We start from the raw sequence: 17,697 nt of genomic DNA on the forward strand, positions 1-17,697 counted from the left end.
CGAGGACACAAGCTGAGCCCCCGAGTCCTCACCTGGCTCCTCCAAACCGTATCTCCAACTATACTTTTCTCCTCTACTCATTCAACCGTTTGCTACACCATCCCTCAACAAGCCCTGTACTTTCCAATTTTCGAGCCTTGCTCATCCTATACCAAACTGACTGCATCTGACCAAGTCCTAGCTGGTTCAGATAACTCTCCCGAGCAGCCTTTTCTAATCCCCTAATTCAAAAATCTTTCGCCCAATCTCCTCCCTTCTGTGCCTCTGTAACTGCACCTACCTAGCCAGGGTCGTATTCGAGGGATTTCTGTTTATAAACATTCACAAGCCCCCATCCTACCACCAATCCCCACCCGGACTGTGAGCACCCTACAGACAAGACCCAAATGTTGAATCACTCTCTTCTTGCTCCTCCGAATATTTATTGTGTGACGCCTGACAGGAAGTAGAGGCTCTGTAAATGTGTATTGAGTGAATATGAAAGCTTCACAAATTTCAAGGGTCAGCTTCCTTGGCGGCCAGGGATATATACGCCCTATGCAGAGCCCGGCTCCAACGCCTCTTGTAGAAAGAAGGACACTGACCAGGACATTTGCAGCGTCACAAAAGATCCTGTCAGCGCGAGGCCTGCAGGCGGCCCTCCATAGTGAAATATGTGCTTCTGCAACCCCTCAAAGTAGGAACTGCAGGGTGACTCTGCATCAGCTGACTACAGGCAGATTTCCAGGCTGACTGGCTGGAAAAGAAAAAAAAAAAACGCGGAGTTCGACGCCGCGCGCAGCACCAAACACTTCCCCAGAAGGGCGCAGCCTGGAGGCGGCCGCGCGCAGGACGCACGCCCAAGGCGCCTGGGCCGCTAGGGACCGACCGGAGCGCTCAAACCCACAGGGTATCTATCAGGCGCGCGTCAGCACGTAAGCAGAGCGCGAGAACGCCCGAGACGGCGGCGCAGCCAATCCCAGAGCAGCGCTCCCCAACGGCCGGCCGGAGGGCGGGGAGAGAGGGGGGCTCGGCCAGAGCCACGCTTCCCATTGGTTGAGACAGCACCGCCCAGCCAAAGCCCCCTTGTCCTCGCGCGGGTGCGCCGCCTGGACTCCCACCCTGGCCAGTCCCGGGCCCACCACCACTCTGGCATCCCCAGCCTGTCCCCGCGGCTCCTCCTCCTTCCCCGGCCCTGTGGCCTGCCTGCTGTCCAGCATTCTTCCCCAGGGCGCTGTGGCGCGGAGGGAGGACTCCCCAAACCCCGGGAACAGAGCCTTGCGGAGGACCCCGGAGGAGGAGGAGGAGGAGGGACGCGGACGGGACTGGGAGATTCGGTCGGGAAGGGGACAGGGCCTAGAGCCCGGGGCTAGAAGGCAGGACACCTGGCTTCGGTCTGGGCTCGGCCTTTGACTACGACGTGACCTTGAGGACGGTTCCTTCCCTTCGTGGGGCCTGGGTCCCCTTCAGTAAGATGCGCCGGCAGGAAACGATGAGTCGTTTCACCTGGGAGCTGCAGGGCCGCGTGTTTAACCCAGGGCCTCCTCCTGCCTGGCACATTATTCCGAATAATAAATGCCAGATCATGCTGCTGGAGACGCCGGCAGAAAAGCCGAGAGGGAGACTCCCTGGGGTCTGGGCGCGATCGGCCATCCTACCCTTACCCCGCTGCGGCCGCAGGGCTCGGCCTGTAGGGCGCGAGCCCCCCTTCCCCACCCGTATCCCGGCTTCGGAGCTAAAGGAACACGTGAGGCCGAACCAAACCGAGTAGAGGGCGCCAGGGAATCCCGCCCGAGCTGCAGAGACGCGGACCCCTCCTCTTACCCAAAACCAAATGGGCAGGGGGCTCCGCTGCAGAGGGCTCGCCGAGGCTCTCGCCTTCACCCGGCGCCGCGCAGGTGCCCGCTCTCCTGCGGGGAGAGCCGAGGGGGGGCGCTGCCGCAGGGTCTTTCTGGAAGCCCCTCCACCAGCACTCCTGCGGCCTGCGGCCTCCGCCACCCGGACGCTTCTACACGCGAAGCGCGCGCTGGGGCTACGCTGGGCGGGGCTCACGGCGGCGTGGCTGTCGGGGGGCCGCCGAGCCGCCTCCTCCGCGCTGGGTGCCCGGCTGGCGCTCCTCCCGCCCAAGGTGCCCTGATCGCTAGGCTCCCGGTGCGGCCGTCTCGCCCCTAAGCCGGGCGCCAGATCCCCCGCCGCCTTCTCGCTCCCCGACCGCTGGGCGGGGGCGAGGGCCAGGGAGATGGAGCCAGGTGCGGAAAGGGTTGCAGCCTCGCGGGCTGAGGCCGGAGGGTGAAGGCGCCGCTCCTTGAAGTGAGGAAAACTCCGGTGAGGAAGAGGCTCTTTCCAGGTCCTGTGCGTGTTGCTGTCTTTAGAGCTCATTAGGGTTGGTTGGTTTTTAAATTTCTTTTGATCAGATGAATTTATTTAAAGGCCGGGGGCGGTGGCTCACGCCTGTAATTCCAGCACTTTGGGAGGCTGAGGCAGGTGGATCACTTGGGGTCAGGAGTTCGAGACCAGCCTGGCCAACATGGTGAAAACCAGTCTCTACTAAAAATACAAAAGTTAGCAGGGCGCGGTGGCGCACGCCTGTAATCCCAGCTACTCGGGAGGCTGAGGCAGGAGAATCGCTTGAACCCAGGAGGCGGAGGTTCCAGTGAGCCGAGATTGCACCATTGCACTCTAGCCTGGGCGACAGAGTGCTCCGTCTCACAAAAACAAAAAAATTAAAGATTTGCTTCTCAGGGTCTTTAAAAATAAATTAAGAATAGCAGTTTCCCAGAGTTTTAATAATAGAACAACGGAGGGCCATCGGCCACAGATAAGGGTTTCCTCCCAACCCCACCCCACTGCGCTATCGCCCTGCGCCAGCACACCTCAGTTTCCAGGATGAGAAACAGGCTGAGGAGAGAAGACACCAGGACACATTAGTGGCGAAGCTACGCGAAAGGAAAATAAACCTTGGGGCCCCCAAATCACTAGGCTAAAGGGGAAAGTCAAGCTGGGAACGGCTTAGGGCCAACCTGCCCCCATTCTACTCAAAATCACCCCCTGCTCACTGAGATAAATGCATATCTGATTCCCCCTTTGGAGAGGCTCATCAGAAACTCGAAAGAATGCGACCATTTGTCTCTCATCTACCTATAACCTGGGGGCTCCCTCCTTGCTTCGAGTTGTCCCACCTTTCCAGACTGAGCCAATGTTCATCTTACATATGTTGATTGATGTCTCATGTCTCCCTAAAATGTATAAAACCGAGCTGTGTCCCAACCACCTTAGGCACATGTCAGGACTTCCTGAGGCCATTTCACTTGCGTGCATTCTTAACTTTGGGAAAATAAACTTCCTAAATTGATCTGGCTCAGATTTTGGGGGTTCACAACTATGTTTAGGTAAAGTACAGAGAAGGAATGAATAGAATGAAGAGAATGAATGAAACTTGCAAATACAGGAAGATGAAAACAGGAGGAGGGAAGTACTGGCATGATGAAGATTTAAAGAAAACTGTAGACCGGGTGCGGTGGCTCACGCCTATAATCCCAGCACTGTAGGAGGCTGAGGCGGGTGGATCACTTTAGGCCAGGAGTTTGAGACCAGCCTGGCCAATGTGGTGAAACCCTGCCCTTCGTAGTGGATGCTTGTAATCCCAGCTAGGTGGGAGGCTGAGGCAGAAGAATTGCTTAAGCCTGGGAGGCAGAGGTTGCAGTGAGCTGAGATGGTGCCACTGCATTCCAGCCTGGGCAACAGTGGGAGACTGTCTCAAAAAACAAACAAACAAATAAAACTGTTGGCTCTGTCTGTCCATTCTGTGAGCTTCTGGAGAGCTAAGGCTATCTCCTTTATCCCCAGCTCCTGGCACATACAGCCTTGAAGACTGGGAGAATCAGGAAGGGAGGATGCACTTAGTTTTCTGTTCCCGTTTCACAGATAGACTCAAGCCTGGATTTGCTCCAGTGACGGTGTTTCAGAACATTAGGCATATAGTACCACAGGGTTAAAAATAAATCACTATACTAAAATTACGCCTTGAGGATTATGCTTTGCTAGAAAAGTAGTTAAAGGAAGAATTCTTCTTTACCCCAAGGGAAAAAACATAGATCCTGACTCTGAGAATTAAACTGAATTGTAGTCCTATTTGCATAAGACAGAAAAGGACATTTGACCTTTCTGAGGTTGTATTACACATCTGGCCTTACATCTTCCCAGCCCAGCTTTGCTGTGACAACCAGGTATGAACAGGTGTAACCTGAGAGCACCTTGCCTCAGCTGCACCTGGTATTCTGCGTCTCTGGCACTGCAACCTGGGACCCTTGCAGGAATCCGCTGTCCACTCTGACACATGAGTAAACCTGGAAGTGCAAAGGAACACCTCAAAGGACAAACTTTGACCAAAGGGCAGGCAGGAACTGCAGGAAAAATACTCTGCTCTTCCAGTCTTCCAGTGGGCAATTCTGAGATATGTTCTATGCAGCTCCTAAAATGATAGCATTCTGTTTGCCCATAGTAGTGACCGACTTGATCAACTCACGAATACACCCTTGGATGCCATTCTCTTTCCCTCCTTCCCTATTTGACTCTTCCCAGCCCTCCCCTCCAATTCCTTGGGATTTTGTTATGTAGCTTTAAATGATTCCGAACACTTTCACTTTTCTGTGAGAGTGATATTGTTTTACTGTGATTAGAACATGCAGGGAACTCTCCCTAGCCAAGGGAATGTCATGTCACACCTTATCAGACCCCGCATGGGAGCTACTGACCTCAACCACTGGACTCCAAACACATAGAAACCCAGGATTTTGACAGACGCTTGGAGAGCTTAGGATGTGGCGAGGCCACTCTCTGGAAGCCTTGAAGCTGTTTTTGAAGCCTTGTCTCACAACACTGGCACCGCTCTCTAGCAGCAAGAGACCTCACGTATCTTCATGGATCTCCATTGTATTAGTCAAGCTGTCCCTCCCGAGAACCTCTCCTAGAAAGTAGTGCCTCAAACTCTGATTGGACTTTGCATCCACAAAAGCCTGCTTTCCATCCTAAGTGGGCAATTGAACTTTTTTTTTTTTTTTTTTGAGATGGAATCTCACTCTTGTTACCCAGGCTGGAGTGCAATGGTGCGATCTCGGCTCACTGCAACCTCCGCCTCCAGGGTTCAAGCGATTCTCCTGCCTTAGCCTCCCAAGTAGCTGGGACAGGTGCCCGCCACCACGCCCAGCTAATTTTTGTATTTTTAGTAGAGATGGGGTTTCACCATGTTGGCCAGGGTGGTCTTGAACTCCTGACCTCAGATGATCTGCCCACCTCAGCCTCCCAAAGTGCTGGGATTACAGGCATGAGCCACCATGCTCAGCTTCAACTGAACTTTAATAATTGGACTCTAAATGAAATTGGAACTCATTCATTATGTGATTAATGTACCTTGTCTGTTGAGTGTATCCCCTGTGAGATTTGTTCTCATTATTCTCCCCCTTTTTAAGAATTGTGAAAAAGAAAGACCTCTTTGTATGGCAATAAACTGTGTGATTCATGAACTCATACTTTGATCTTCTCCTTATTTTAACCATACAAAACAGATTCATTCCCCAAATAAACTACCTATACACAAGTCCTTGCTCAGGCTCTGCTATTTGGGGGAACCCAGATTAAGCCAATGGTTAACCCAAAAGAGACATCTCAGCTTATCTTTCCCAACCCTGCTAAGGAAGAATTTATTTGTTTGGTTTGTGCTTTTTCTCCTTTATTTCCCAAAGGCCCTGCCCCTTAGGGCATCACGAGTGAACTCTGACACAGATAGTAGCAAGAGACTCCCAGGAGAAAGGGCCAACTGAGGAGTTGGGACTGGGTTAAGGGGTCAGACAAAGCCATTCTCAGCCCCACCTTCAACCTTTCCCCACCTTCTACCGTTCTGGTTGTTGACTTTGGAACTGGAGAAACATTCGGCTGTGAGGTTGAACACAGACAGTCTGTGGAAATCAGGTCACTCCCAACACTGCATGCACCAAGATTCTCTCTCCCTCCCCCTACTGTAAAACCACCTCCTCTCTGTTCAGGTACAAGGCCTCAGGCCAGGGTATTCAGCACTCAGCACACTCTCCTCAACCCAGGGAGGTACTGTTTGCAAATTAGCACGTTAGTTTTGGGAGGGAAACAGTCCTTAGTCCCTGCCTTCAAGGAGGTGTGAAAAGTAAAGTAGAGGTGAGTCTTCAAAGACTTTCCTCCCCTCTAATTAGGAATAAATAGTAACTTCTCTTAGAAGCAAAATTTATTCAAAGACCTGTGCTAACATTCTTAAAATCTGCTAGCCTTAATAAAGAAATCATATGTTCTTAGCTCCCACAATTTAGCCTAAATATTTGCCGTGGTGTGCTTATACTGGTCCAAGCAAGCATTAGGTCATAGCCTGTTCCTCTTCCTTATTTGAAGGTGTTTTTACCTTTCTCAGCATTCCACAAGTTACTTTCTCCTTCCTTTGTTCTCCTCTGCCTTTGCCTCTTTTAAAAAGTTCTAAGTTACTAGCCAATCAGGACAAATACAGAATGTGAGGTCCTGTTCCAGCCAATGGAAACCAGACACAGCAGTAGGGCGGATGTGTCAGGTTATAAATGACCCCGTCTGCTTTGTTCTGTGTATGCTCACGGCAAAACTGCTGGTGAGTGTACCCTTTCTGTAGAAAGTATAAAAATGGCCTTGCTGAGGAAATCAATGTTCAAGTGCTATTTCTTTACTGCACCAAGGAACAAGCATTTCAAACAGGTGTGAAAGGAAAATATCTTGGGGCCCCCACATCACTAAGCTAAAGGGAAAGTCAAGCTGGGAACAGCTTAGGGCAACCCAGCCTCCCATTCTATTCAGTCATCCCCCTGCTCACTGAGATAAATGTGTATCTGATTGCCTTCTTTGGAAAGGCTAATCAGAAACTCAAAAGAATGTAACCATTTGTCTCTCACCTACTTGTGACCTGGAACCCACCTCCCTGTCCCACTTTTGCTTCAAGTTGTCCACCTTTCTGGGCCAAATCAATGTTCATCTTACATATGTTGATTGATGTCTCATGTCTCCCTAAAACGTATGACCACCTTGGCACATGTCATCAGGACCTCCTGAGGCTGTGTCACAGGTGTGCATCTTCAATCTTGGAAAAGTAAACTTTCTAAATTAACTGAGACTTGTCTCAGATTTGGGGGGGTTCACATTTTGGTAACCATGGAGGGATTCTGAGTGGAGATGCCCCTGACCTTTGACAGATCTACTGGTCCTTGGTAGCAGCATGAGCTAACCTTACGGCTCAAACCAATAGGACAATTTGCTGAGGTCTGGGAGCACACCCTCCAGAGAATCCTTGATCTCCCCAAATTTGGTCAAGATCTAGAGTTTATTTTTCTGTACAACTCCCCCCCACCTTTTTTTTGGAGTTTTATTTGCTTCCAACAAGGAAGGCAAGATTTCCTCTTTCCATGACGATAGAAGGCAGACAACTCCTTCAGGGAGCTTGAGCTCACTCCCAGCAGGGAAGATGAATTCGAGTTTTTTCCTGCTTTTAGGATGACAAAAAGCAGTCTTCAGCCTGAGACCCATCCCTAGGTAAGTAGCTGAGTTGGGTTTTTGTCTTGGCTAAAGTTTAACAACCAGCTGGTCTGAATTTCTCCTTTACCATTAGAGTGCTCAGTGATCATATTGTTGGGGTTTTGTTGTTGTTGTTGTTTGTTCTGGTTGCTTTCCCATCAGATTTGACCTACTCTTCCAGACTTGGTCCAATCTGAGTGAGAATTCCAAATTACGGGTAACAAAGCCTTTCTAATCTGGCCAAAATTTCTCACAGCTAAAACAAACAAACAAAACAACAACAACAACAACAAAAACATGCACTTGCTTTCTGTGTTTGCTTCCTGTCTTAAAAAAAAAATATTTATTTCATTTACTTTTCTTCTACCCTATACCTCCTTCCCCCTTTGCCATCTGCAGTACCAAAAAAATCTAGAGAAGGCTTCTAATGACTTGAACCCCTTTAAAGAATTCAGAACAAAGGGGCCACTCACCCCTTTTGGAGTGTTGTGTTTTCTCTGTGAAGTTTCAAGAGTCGTGGGCGGATTCTTCTTACATCTAAAGCTCTGTTTTCCTGTATTGCATGACCTGACCTCTTTGGCTTTGGGGGAACCAGAGATGACCTTGCACTGTGAGAGGATTTGACCTTGGAGCATGTAATGGCAGACGAGAACTACAAAGTTACGGGTGGCTGAGCACAGTTTACAGGAAGTGGTCTTGGCTGGTTTCTTTTCTTTTCTCTTCTCTCCTAGGAAATTGTTGTTTAAGGATCCTAATTCTAGTTCGGAGATGCATTCTAAAGGGTCTTATCTATTGCTTTTTCTCCCATAATTAATCTCAATTGTGTTTGTCTGTGTGCATTTGTCTGAGGAACTGAACTGTTGTTTTCATAGGCAAATGAGAAACTGAGTTTTCTGAGCTCCAAAGAGAAAGGACATTTGCTCTTTCCAGCGAAAGGCGTCCCTGGGTGACCAGGGGCCTCGTGGGAGCGTCTGGGGAGTTGACCCCCTGCAACATGCAGTGGCCCTGCAGGGAAATCCCCAGAAAAATTTAATTTTAAAAATGGGTCATCCAGGAAATGCATATAAGGGCTGATCACCTGGCATTTTGAGCCCTCTCAGAGGACATAGACCTCTGGAGAGAGAAGCTGAGATGCATAAGAGGCTGGAAACAACTCAGTGATGACACACTGTGGAGTCCTGCCCACAAGCAGCTCACATCGATCCATGCACAAAAACCCTAGGCCACAGCTCAATTCTTCCTTTTAAGAAAAAAAAAAAGAAGCAGGAAACAATCTGAGAATGAGGAGAAAACAAGGAGAATGACCCCCTTTAGAGCACCTTATTGGTTTTATGGCACCTCTATTTGCCAGAGTAAAATGGAAGTAATACAGTCTTTGTGCAAATTTACATTGAGGAAAAAGAGCCCTAAGGTCAACCTGCAAATTCTAGAGTTCCTAGTCCGTTTTTCTCTATTTTCCTTTCTGCCATGCTTTAAGTCTGCTGTTATTTTTCCACTGAGATAAAACCACTGTTTGGGTCTAATAGTTTTTTGGGTTTTTCTTGCAAGCTGGCAAATTTGTATTTATCTCATGGCTAAAGTACTGGAGTAAAAGTTATAGAATCTGTATGTGTGTATGTGTGTATGTACATGTACACATGTATGTATTTGAAGGCCTTTATGATAGATGTCTATAATTTTATGTCCAATTGTTAATTAAATTCATTTTAATTTCCCTCCAGCTCACCAGACTTTCACTTTGTACCTTACGAGGTAAATTTTGCTGTCTGACTTTTATGTGAGTTGTTTCCTTTAATATGCAAATTTAAGACTATTAGCTGACAAGAAGAAAAAGAAGACCCTTTAGAATGCATCTCTGAACTAGAATTAGGATCCTTAAACAACAATTTCCTAGGAGAGAAAAGAAGAATGAACAAGGAGAGTTTGGAGGTTAAAAGCAAGATGGAGTCAGTTAGGCAAATCTTTTTCACGTCTCTGTTATAATTTTGCAATGATGGTTCCATAACTTTAAATGATGACTATCACAGTTTTCATAAATCATCTAAAACAATTAAAATAATTAGGTGAATGTAATACTTGTAGACAAACTCATAATTTAGAATCTAAAGTTATATTAAATTAAGTAATAGATATTTCATTATATGGGTATTTTCCAATAAAAATATATTTGTAAGAAAACATTCTTTTTAAAAAGTGTGTCATTTTTAAAAAGATGAATAGTTTTTGTCTAATTCAAAGCTTATTTAAAGGTCATGTTTAAAACAATATAAAAGGAACCAGGAAAATAAAAGAGATGTAAAGAAAGTTATGGCTGGGAGCAGTGGCTCACACTTGTAATCCCAGCACTTTGGGAGGCTGAGGCAGGCAGATCACTTGAGGTCAGGAGTTTGAGACCAGCCTGGTCAACATGGTAAAATCCCATCTCTACTAAAAATACAAAAATTAGCCAGGCGTGGTGGTAGGCTACTGTAATCACAGCTACTTGGAAAGCTGAGGCAGGAGAATTGCTTGAACCCAGGAAGCGGAGGTTGCAGTGAGCTGAGATCTTGCCACTGCACTCTAGCCTGGGTGACAGCCAGACTTCATCTAAAAAAAAAAAAAAAAAAAGACAGTTATAAAAATAAAGAGGTTTTTTTTGGTAAGAAAGCTTAAAGATAAATAATTTCATATAAGAAAGAATCTTGTATGGTAAATTTAGTCCTAGAGTAAAATGACTGGTTGCTTAAGAAAGAGGGATGTTCAGGACAAACCAGAAAGTCCAAGCATGTCATGAACAGTCTGTGTAAGTCACAATAAGAGGATTTATTTTAAAAAAACCTATATGATCAAGTTGTCATATTATTATTAAGTTTTGGTTTGCTTAGGGAAAAAACTGAGATTAAATTTTTTTTTTAAGTTAAGGTTATTACACCCATATGTCTCTCTGTATGAGGTTTTAAAGTACTTGTGACATTTAGTTACAGGGCTTTGACTCCTGGGTGTAAAAAAGATACCAAGTCCTGCTAAAGTTTAAACACTGACAGCAATTAAAATCCCATCTTTAGTCTCGGTAGAAAATGCCAATCAAAATAAACTGCATTCCTGAAACACAGGGCCAAAAATTCAAGTCATTCAACTTTCTCAGGAAAGGGGCATGTGAGATTGTAAGAGCCAATGTTGAGAGATAAAATAAGTTCAGTTTCTCTATAAATTAATCATTAATGTCAAAGGCACACTGATGCAAGACCAGCATATGAGCCCATGTCAAATTAACAAGGTTTTTATGAAATATTAACCAACTCCTAAGTAAAGGTTATAAAGGTTATGAAAGGCTTATGGAAGTTATAGCTTATGGTCAAGATTAAAATTTTATAGATTGTTTATAAAATTTTAGAGAACAAATTTAATTGGCTTCCTGCTGTGTTTTGTTTTTTGTTTTGTTTTGTTTTTGAGATAGAGTTTCGCTCTTGTTGCCCAGGCTAGGGTGCAATGGTGCAATCTCCGCTCACTGCAACCTCCACCTCCAAGGTTCAAGCGATTCTCCTGCCTCAGCCTCCCTAGTAGCTGAGATTACAGGCATGTGCCACCACGCCTGGCTAATTTTGTATTTTTAGTATACACAGGGTTTCTCCATGTTGGTCAGGCTGGTCTCAAACTCCCAACCTCGGGTGACCCACCTGCCTTGGCCTCCCAAAGTGCTGGGATTACAGCCATGAGCCGCCGCACCCAGCCAGCTTCCTGCTGTTGTTACTAGGGCTTATTGTTTGGAAAATTAGCTCTCTTTTCTCAAAGAGAAGGTTTTTGCCTTTTTTTTAAATCCTTGAGTTATCACTTTGGTCAAATGAATGACTTATTTTACAATAACCTGTGATATCAAGTGTTCTAAACCTTTGATATTTGATAACCTTTCCAAAATCAAATTATAAATTATGTCTTTTTCTGCTTGAATTAATCCTTTAAGATATTAGGTTTCCTGAAGTCCAAAATGACATAATTTGGCTTATTTGGTATAAAAATCATACAGGAAACTTTGTCAAATATGAAATGGTGTTTGGCTTTCTTTGGGCTGTATTTATATAAATATGTTATTGGTATGTGTTCCAAAATCATGGGAAACTCCTATAATTTTGATATGACTTAATGTACATTATCAGTAATAATTATAATTGTTATGTTAAATTGTTGCTGCCACAGAGATAAGTTTCTTTGTCAGTTGTGTCTTTGACTGTGGCTGCCTTAAAACCTTTTGTCATCCACAAACAATTGTCTTGTTTTGGTCCTCCTTAGAAAGTGGTTTTATAATCAACTATAGAACTCTAACAGGTGTTCCTAGATGCAAGTTTCTGATAACTTTGGAGATTGGAACATTAGAATAGAGAAAAAAACTTTCAGGACTCTCATGGAGAACTGAAATGTTCATGAATGTCAGAACAAAAGCTAACTGCGTGAGCTGATCTAATAAAAGACTAAAGTAATCTTTTAAACTTTTTGCTTAAAATGTTGCTGATCCTTTGTTTTGTTTTTCAGATACAAGAAAACGTCTTTTAAGCTATTTACAGCTTTTAACAATTGAGTGAAGTATACTTCTATGAACAAAATTTAGACCATATTTGTTTCTGTCAACCTGATTTCTCCAAAATTTGGGAACTATGTGTGAGTATTCTTATGACAATACAGTTATTTGCATAAGTGCAATAAGAATCTGTTTTCATTTGTAACAGGACACAATTGGAGAAACTGGTTATTTTACTAAAGTTTTGACTGGAATGGTGTGCTTTCCTTTAAGGATTCAAAATTGACTTATGGAGGCAATAAAAGCCCATTGGATAAACTGCTGTGATACCTTTGTCTACACAGCCATTGTAAAGGGTTCCTGATGTGTCATAAGTAAAGAATGTCACTTTCTGACAGGCCCAGGAGCCCCAAGTTTATCTTGGAACCTCAAGAGGAAAGGATCACTCAACTCATAGGTACCTGATGGCACAAATCCATAGCTGGGCTCAGCTTTAAAAAAATGTCTTATCTGAGATTCCTTCTATGGAACAAAGTTCCATCAAAGCCAATTTAAAAGCCTATGTAAAAAAATAATTACTCTGGCTGCATTGTATACAAATAATTAGGCCAAGTATAGTAAAGCAAACCAGTCCTACCATGATTTTTCTTTAGTACAAACGGGAAACTGAAGAGAGAAACATTATGATTCAAAACTATAGTACAGCAGTTGTTAGATTCTAGTCTTGCCTAACGTTTCTTGATTTTTATTATTTTTTAAAGTTTGAACTGAATTCTAATTTTTCTTGGCTCCAAGTCTTCAAAGTAATTTTTGTTACTTTGTTTTCAATTTTTTTCTTCTTCTTTTCCCATTTTTCCTAATTTGGAGTCACTGAAAACTGAGCTGTGCTTTCATAAAGCCCCACAAACTGAAGCTAGACAACCTTCAGAAGAAAATAATAGCAACCTTATTTACATACATTAGCCACTTTCATACCTACCTACTGATGTATAAACTTCAGAGTAATGTGGCCTATATCGATTTTCCAGGATTGTTCTTTTGTTTGTTGTTGTTTTTCTACCTTCTTCCCCCTGTTTTCTCTTCAAAGGACATGAGACTTCACAACCTTCTAAATATGAGCTTTCCTAATAACTTGGGACCTACCTATCTAGGAATAAACCATCCTAGCCATGAGACACCAGATGAAACCTGGGACGAGGGACTCATTTTCTCCTAAAATGCTTTCTCCAAAAGATTTTAAAAAGAAAAGGAGGGAAACGTGAAAGGAAGATAAATCTTGGGGTCCCAAAATCACTAAGCTAAGGGAAGAGTCAAGCTGGGAACTGCTTAGGGCCAACCTGCCTCCCGTTCTGTTCAAAGTCATCCCTCTGCTCACTGAGAAAAATGCATATCTAATTGCCTCCTTTGGAAAGGCTAATCAGAAACTCAAAAGAGTGCAATTGTTTGTCTCTCATCTACCCGTGACCTGGAAGCCCCCTCCCTGTCCTGCTTTTGCCTCCAGTTGTCCTACCTTTCTGGGCCAAACCAATGTTCATTTTACATATGTTGATTGCTTCTCATGTCTCTCTAAAATGTATAAAACCAAGCTGTGCTCTGACCACCTTGGGCACATGTCGTCAGGACCGCTTGAGGCAGTGTTACAGGTGCACATCCTCAACCTTCGCAAAATAAACTTTCTGAATTAACTGAGAGACCTGTCTGAGATTTTGGGGGTTCATGGAGGGAAATGAGGCACCTGAGATTTTGGGGGTTTATGGAGGGAAATGAAGCATGTATGTAAGCTAAATGAATCATTAGAAGTCCTGTAAGTCTTCTAAAAGAGGGACAAATAAATGTCATCAGAGTTCTAATAAGGGTTCAGGATAGGCTTTGTAGAAGAGGTAGTATCCTGAAAGATTCTCAGTCAGAATGAAGTACCCTAAAAGAGGCCCCTGACCTGAGAGATCATGGTGTTCTCTCCTGTCTGTTTGCCTGCTAGCTCACACTCTCCTCCAATACCAGCTGAATTTAATCATTCCCAGCCCCTCCCTTGCTGGATCTGGCCCTGCCCGGGGTCTGAATGCCCCTGGTCTTCTCTGCCCTCAGTATTAAGTGCTCAGTGTTAATTCAGGACAGTGCAGGTTAAATCCTGCCCTTAGGCAGCCACCTCCAAGTCCTCACAGAGCCAGCGTGCAGCCTGCTTTGCTGAGTTCTGCTGGGCGATAGGGAATAAAAACACTGTCTACTGCCCCAAACCCCACAGTCTTCTGTTTGTTTTGATGCAATTGAATTTTATTAAAGTTTTGTGGGTTTTTTTTTTTTGGCTGGAAATCATACCCTTAATCTGTAGAATTTTATAGGTATTGAGTAGCTTTTTCTGGAATTGACAGCAAAGGAAAGAAGCCCAGTATATTATTCTATGCTGCTTCTAAAACGAAGCTGTGGTGCTCAGAATCTAGTGTGTTGAAAAGAGCCTTTGACAGCTGATCTTAACGTGACTGTAATGCTGAAATCTGTGGATGAATGAGAACTGGAGGAGCTGCCTTTTCCTTGCAGTGAATGAGCAAGTAAAACAAGTGCTTGACCTCAAGGGAAAAAGATGGAGAGTATCAGGCATCCCCACCCACTTTCTATCACTTAACTCTTACGTATTCATTAATTGAGTGTTTGTTTAAGCACAAGCATTTTGTGCATGGGTATGGGTTGTCTGTAAATTTAAGCAATGTTCTTTTGAGGTAACTAGGATCTTGGAAGAGGGAACAATATGAGGATATTTGATTAAAAAAAAAAACACCTCTGCCCATCCTGCCCTAAGCTACAGCAACCCATGCAATTTATTCATTCATTCAGTTTGCACTGATTGAGTCCTTATAATATCTCACTGATTGTGCTATATTCTTAGAGTGGAATCATAAATCAATGCAGGCTCCCTGTTTGCAATAATACTACAATTTAGCAATAAATGGTTCATTTCTATGTACCAGCCACTGTGACAAGTGCCCTCTATGCATTATTTCACTTACTTTTGCAACAATTCTAAAAGTAGCCTAAGATTATTCCCATTTGCAACTGAACACATTGACAGTTAGCAGGTTCAAATAACTTTCCCACAACAATACAACCAGGAAGTGGCAAAGACAGATCCCACCCAAGTCTGTCCTACTCCAAATGCTTTGGGTTAAGCACACCACCAATTGTTCTGAGGTTCTTTCTTTGAAGAAAGGGATTTTTAAAATCCCAGTTTCTGTAGCTATTTGGAGTACAGTTTTTTTTTTCCTTTTTCTAGAGTTACAGGAACTCAGCATGGAGTACAGAATTTTTTATAATCAGCTGGGCATCATTCATGTGGATAATCCAACAGAAGCTGGAATGGCTTTGTTACACAGAAATTTCATTCAATTAGTACAATACAGGTGGCAATTTCTGATGTCTTCAATGAGGAAAAGTTATAGGTTCTGGTTGATTATATTGATATGTTTTGGCTGTGTCCCTACCCAAATATCATCTTGAACTGTAGCTCCCATAATTCCCATGTGTTGTGGGAGGGACCTGGTGGGGGAAAATTGAATCATGAGGGTAGTTTCCCCCATACTTTTCTCGTGGTAGTGAATAAGTTTCTCCCATACTTCTCTCTTGGTAGTGAATAAAAACTGATGGTTTTACAAGGGGAAACCCCTTTTGCTTGGCTTTCATCCTCTCTCTTGTCTGCCACCATGTAAGACGTGCCTTTTGCCTTCTGCCATGATTGTGAGGCCTCCCCAGCCATGTGGAACTGTGAGTCCATTAAACCTCTTTTTCTTTATAAATTACTCAGTCTTGGGTATGCCTTTATCAGCAGCAAGAAAACAGACTAATACAGTAAATTGGTACTGGTAGAGTGGGGCACTGCTGTCAGGGTACCTGAAAATGTGGAAGCAACTTTGGAACTGGGTAACAGGCAGAGGTTAGAACAGTTTGGAGGGCTCAGAAGAAGACAGGAAAAATGTGAAAAAGTTTGGAACTTCCTAGAGACTTGTTAAATGGCTTTGGCCAAAATTCTGACAATGATATGGACAATGAAATCCAGGCTGAGGTGGTCTTAGATGGAGATGAGGCACTTGGGAACTGGAGTAAAGGTGACTCTTGTTATGTTTTAGCAAAGAGACTGGCAGCATTTTGCCCCTGCCCTAGAGATTTGTGGAACTTTGAACTTGAGTGAGATGGTTTAGGATATCTGGCAGAAGAAATTTCTAAGTAGCAAAGCATTCAAAGTGTGACTTGGGTGCTGTTAAAAGCATTCAGTTTTAAAAGGGAAACAGAACATAAAAGTTTGGAAAATTTGCAGCCTGACGCAATACAAAAGAAAAACGCATTTTCTGAGGAGAAATTCAAGCTGGCTGCAGAAATTTGCATAAGTAATGAAGAGCCAGATTGCCAAGATGATAGAGAAAATGTCTCCAGGGTATGTCAAAGACCTTTGTGGCAGCCCCCTCCCATCACAGGCCTATAGGCCTAGAAGGAGAAAATGTTTGCGTGGCCTGGGCCCAGGGGCCCCCTGCTGTGTGCATCTTAGGGACTTGGCACCCTACGTCCCAGCTGCTCTAGCCATGGCTAAAAGGTGCCAAGGTACACCTCAGGCTGCGGCTTCAGAGGGTGCAAACTCTAAGACTTGGCAGCTTCCATGTGGTGTTGAGCCTGTGGGTGCACAGAAGTCAAGAATTGAGGATTGGGAACCTCCACCTAGATTTCAGAGGAGGTATGGAAATAACTGGAGGTCCAGGCAGAATTTTATTGCAGGGCTGGGACCCTCACAGAGAACCTCTGCTAGGGCAGTGAAGAAGGGAAATGTGGGGTTGAAGCCTCCACACAAAGTCCCCACTAGGTTACTGCCTAGTGCGGCTGTGAGAGGAGGGCCACCGTCCTCCAGCCCCCAGAATGGTAGGTCCACTGACAGCTTGCACCATGTGCCTGGAAAAGTCACAGACACTCAATGCCAGCCCATGATAGCAGCCAGGAGGGAGGGTGTACCCTGCAAAGCCACAGGGGCAGAGCTGCCCAAGACCATGGGAACCCACCTCTTGCATCAGCATGACCTGGATGTGAGACATGGAGTCAAAGGAGCTTTAAGATTTGGCTGCCCTGCTGGATTTTGGACTTTCATGGAACCTTTGGCCCCTTCGTTTTGACCCATTTCTCCCATTTGGAATGGGTATATTTATCCAATGCCTGTACCTCCATTGTATCTAGGAAGTAACTAACTTGCTTTTTGTTTTTTAGGCTCATAAGTGGAAGAGACTTGCCTTATCTCGGGTAAGACTTTGGACTGTGGACTTTTGAGTTAATGCTGAAATGAGTGAAGACTTTGGGAAACTGTTGGGAAGGCATGATTGGTTTTGAAATGTGAAGACATGAGATTTGGAAGGGGCCAGGAGTGGAATGATATGGTTTGACTCTGTCCCCACCCAAATCTCATCTTGAATTATAGCTACCATAATTCCCATGTGTTGTGGAAGGGACCCAGTGGGAGATAATTGAATTGTTGAGGTGGTTCCCCCCGTAGTTTTCACATGCTAGTGAATAAGTCTCATGAGATCTAATGGTTTTACAAGGGGAAACCCCTTTCACTTGGCTTTCGTTCTCTCTCTTGCCTGCCACCATGTAAGATGTGCCTTTTGCCTTCTGCCATAATTGTGAGGCCTCTCCAGCCATGTGGA

The 17,697-nt window shown here is 44.7% G+C and overlaps 1 protein-coding gene across 7 annotated transcripts in view, besides 1 other annotated feature; it reads right to left on the reverse strand.

Moving 5' to 3' along the window:
- BDH1 (3-hydroxybutyrate dehydrogenase 1) overlaps positions 1 to 17,697 on the reverse strand; it is a 63,561-nt gene that overhangs the window by 44,195 nt on the left and 1,669 nt on the right. For 2 of the 7 annotated variants that reach the window (XM_047448682.1, NM_004051.5), the window contains exon 1: positions 1,804 to 1,991. The exons of 2 other annotated variants lie outside the window; for them this stretch is intronic. The gene's annotated coding sequence lies outside the window, so the exon portion shown is untranslated. Of the gene's footprint in view, positions 1 to 584; positions 737 to 1,364; positions 1,531 to 1,803; positions 2,284 to 2,852; positions 2,878 to 4,232; positions 4,326 to 8,006; positions 10,120 to 17,697 lie in introns of those variants that run through there. 3 more of the 7 variants (XM_047448680.1, NM_203314.3, XM_047448679.1) reach the window with 3 other exon arrangements.
- Positions 8,479 to 8,578: an enhancer, noted in NCBI's record as "active region_21111". NCBI's record gives its function as "activates an Ori minimal core promoter by ATAC-STARR-seq in GM12878 lymphoblastoid cells {active_cell/tissue: GM12878}" and the evidence as "EXISTENCE:reporter gene assay evidence [ECO:0000049][PMID:35858748]".

The sequence above is a fragment of the Homo sapiens genome, chromosome 3 (genome assembly GCF_000001405.40).
Source record: "Homo sapiens chromosome 3, GRCh38.p14 Primary Assembly".
NCBI classification, from domain to species: domain Eukaryota; kingdom Metazoa; phylum Chordata; class Mammalia; order Primates; family Hominidae; genus Homo; species Homo sapiens.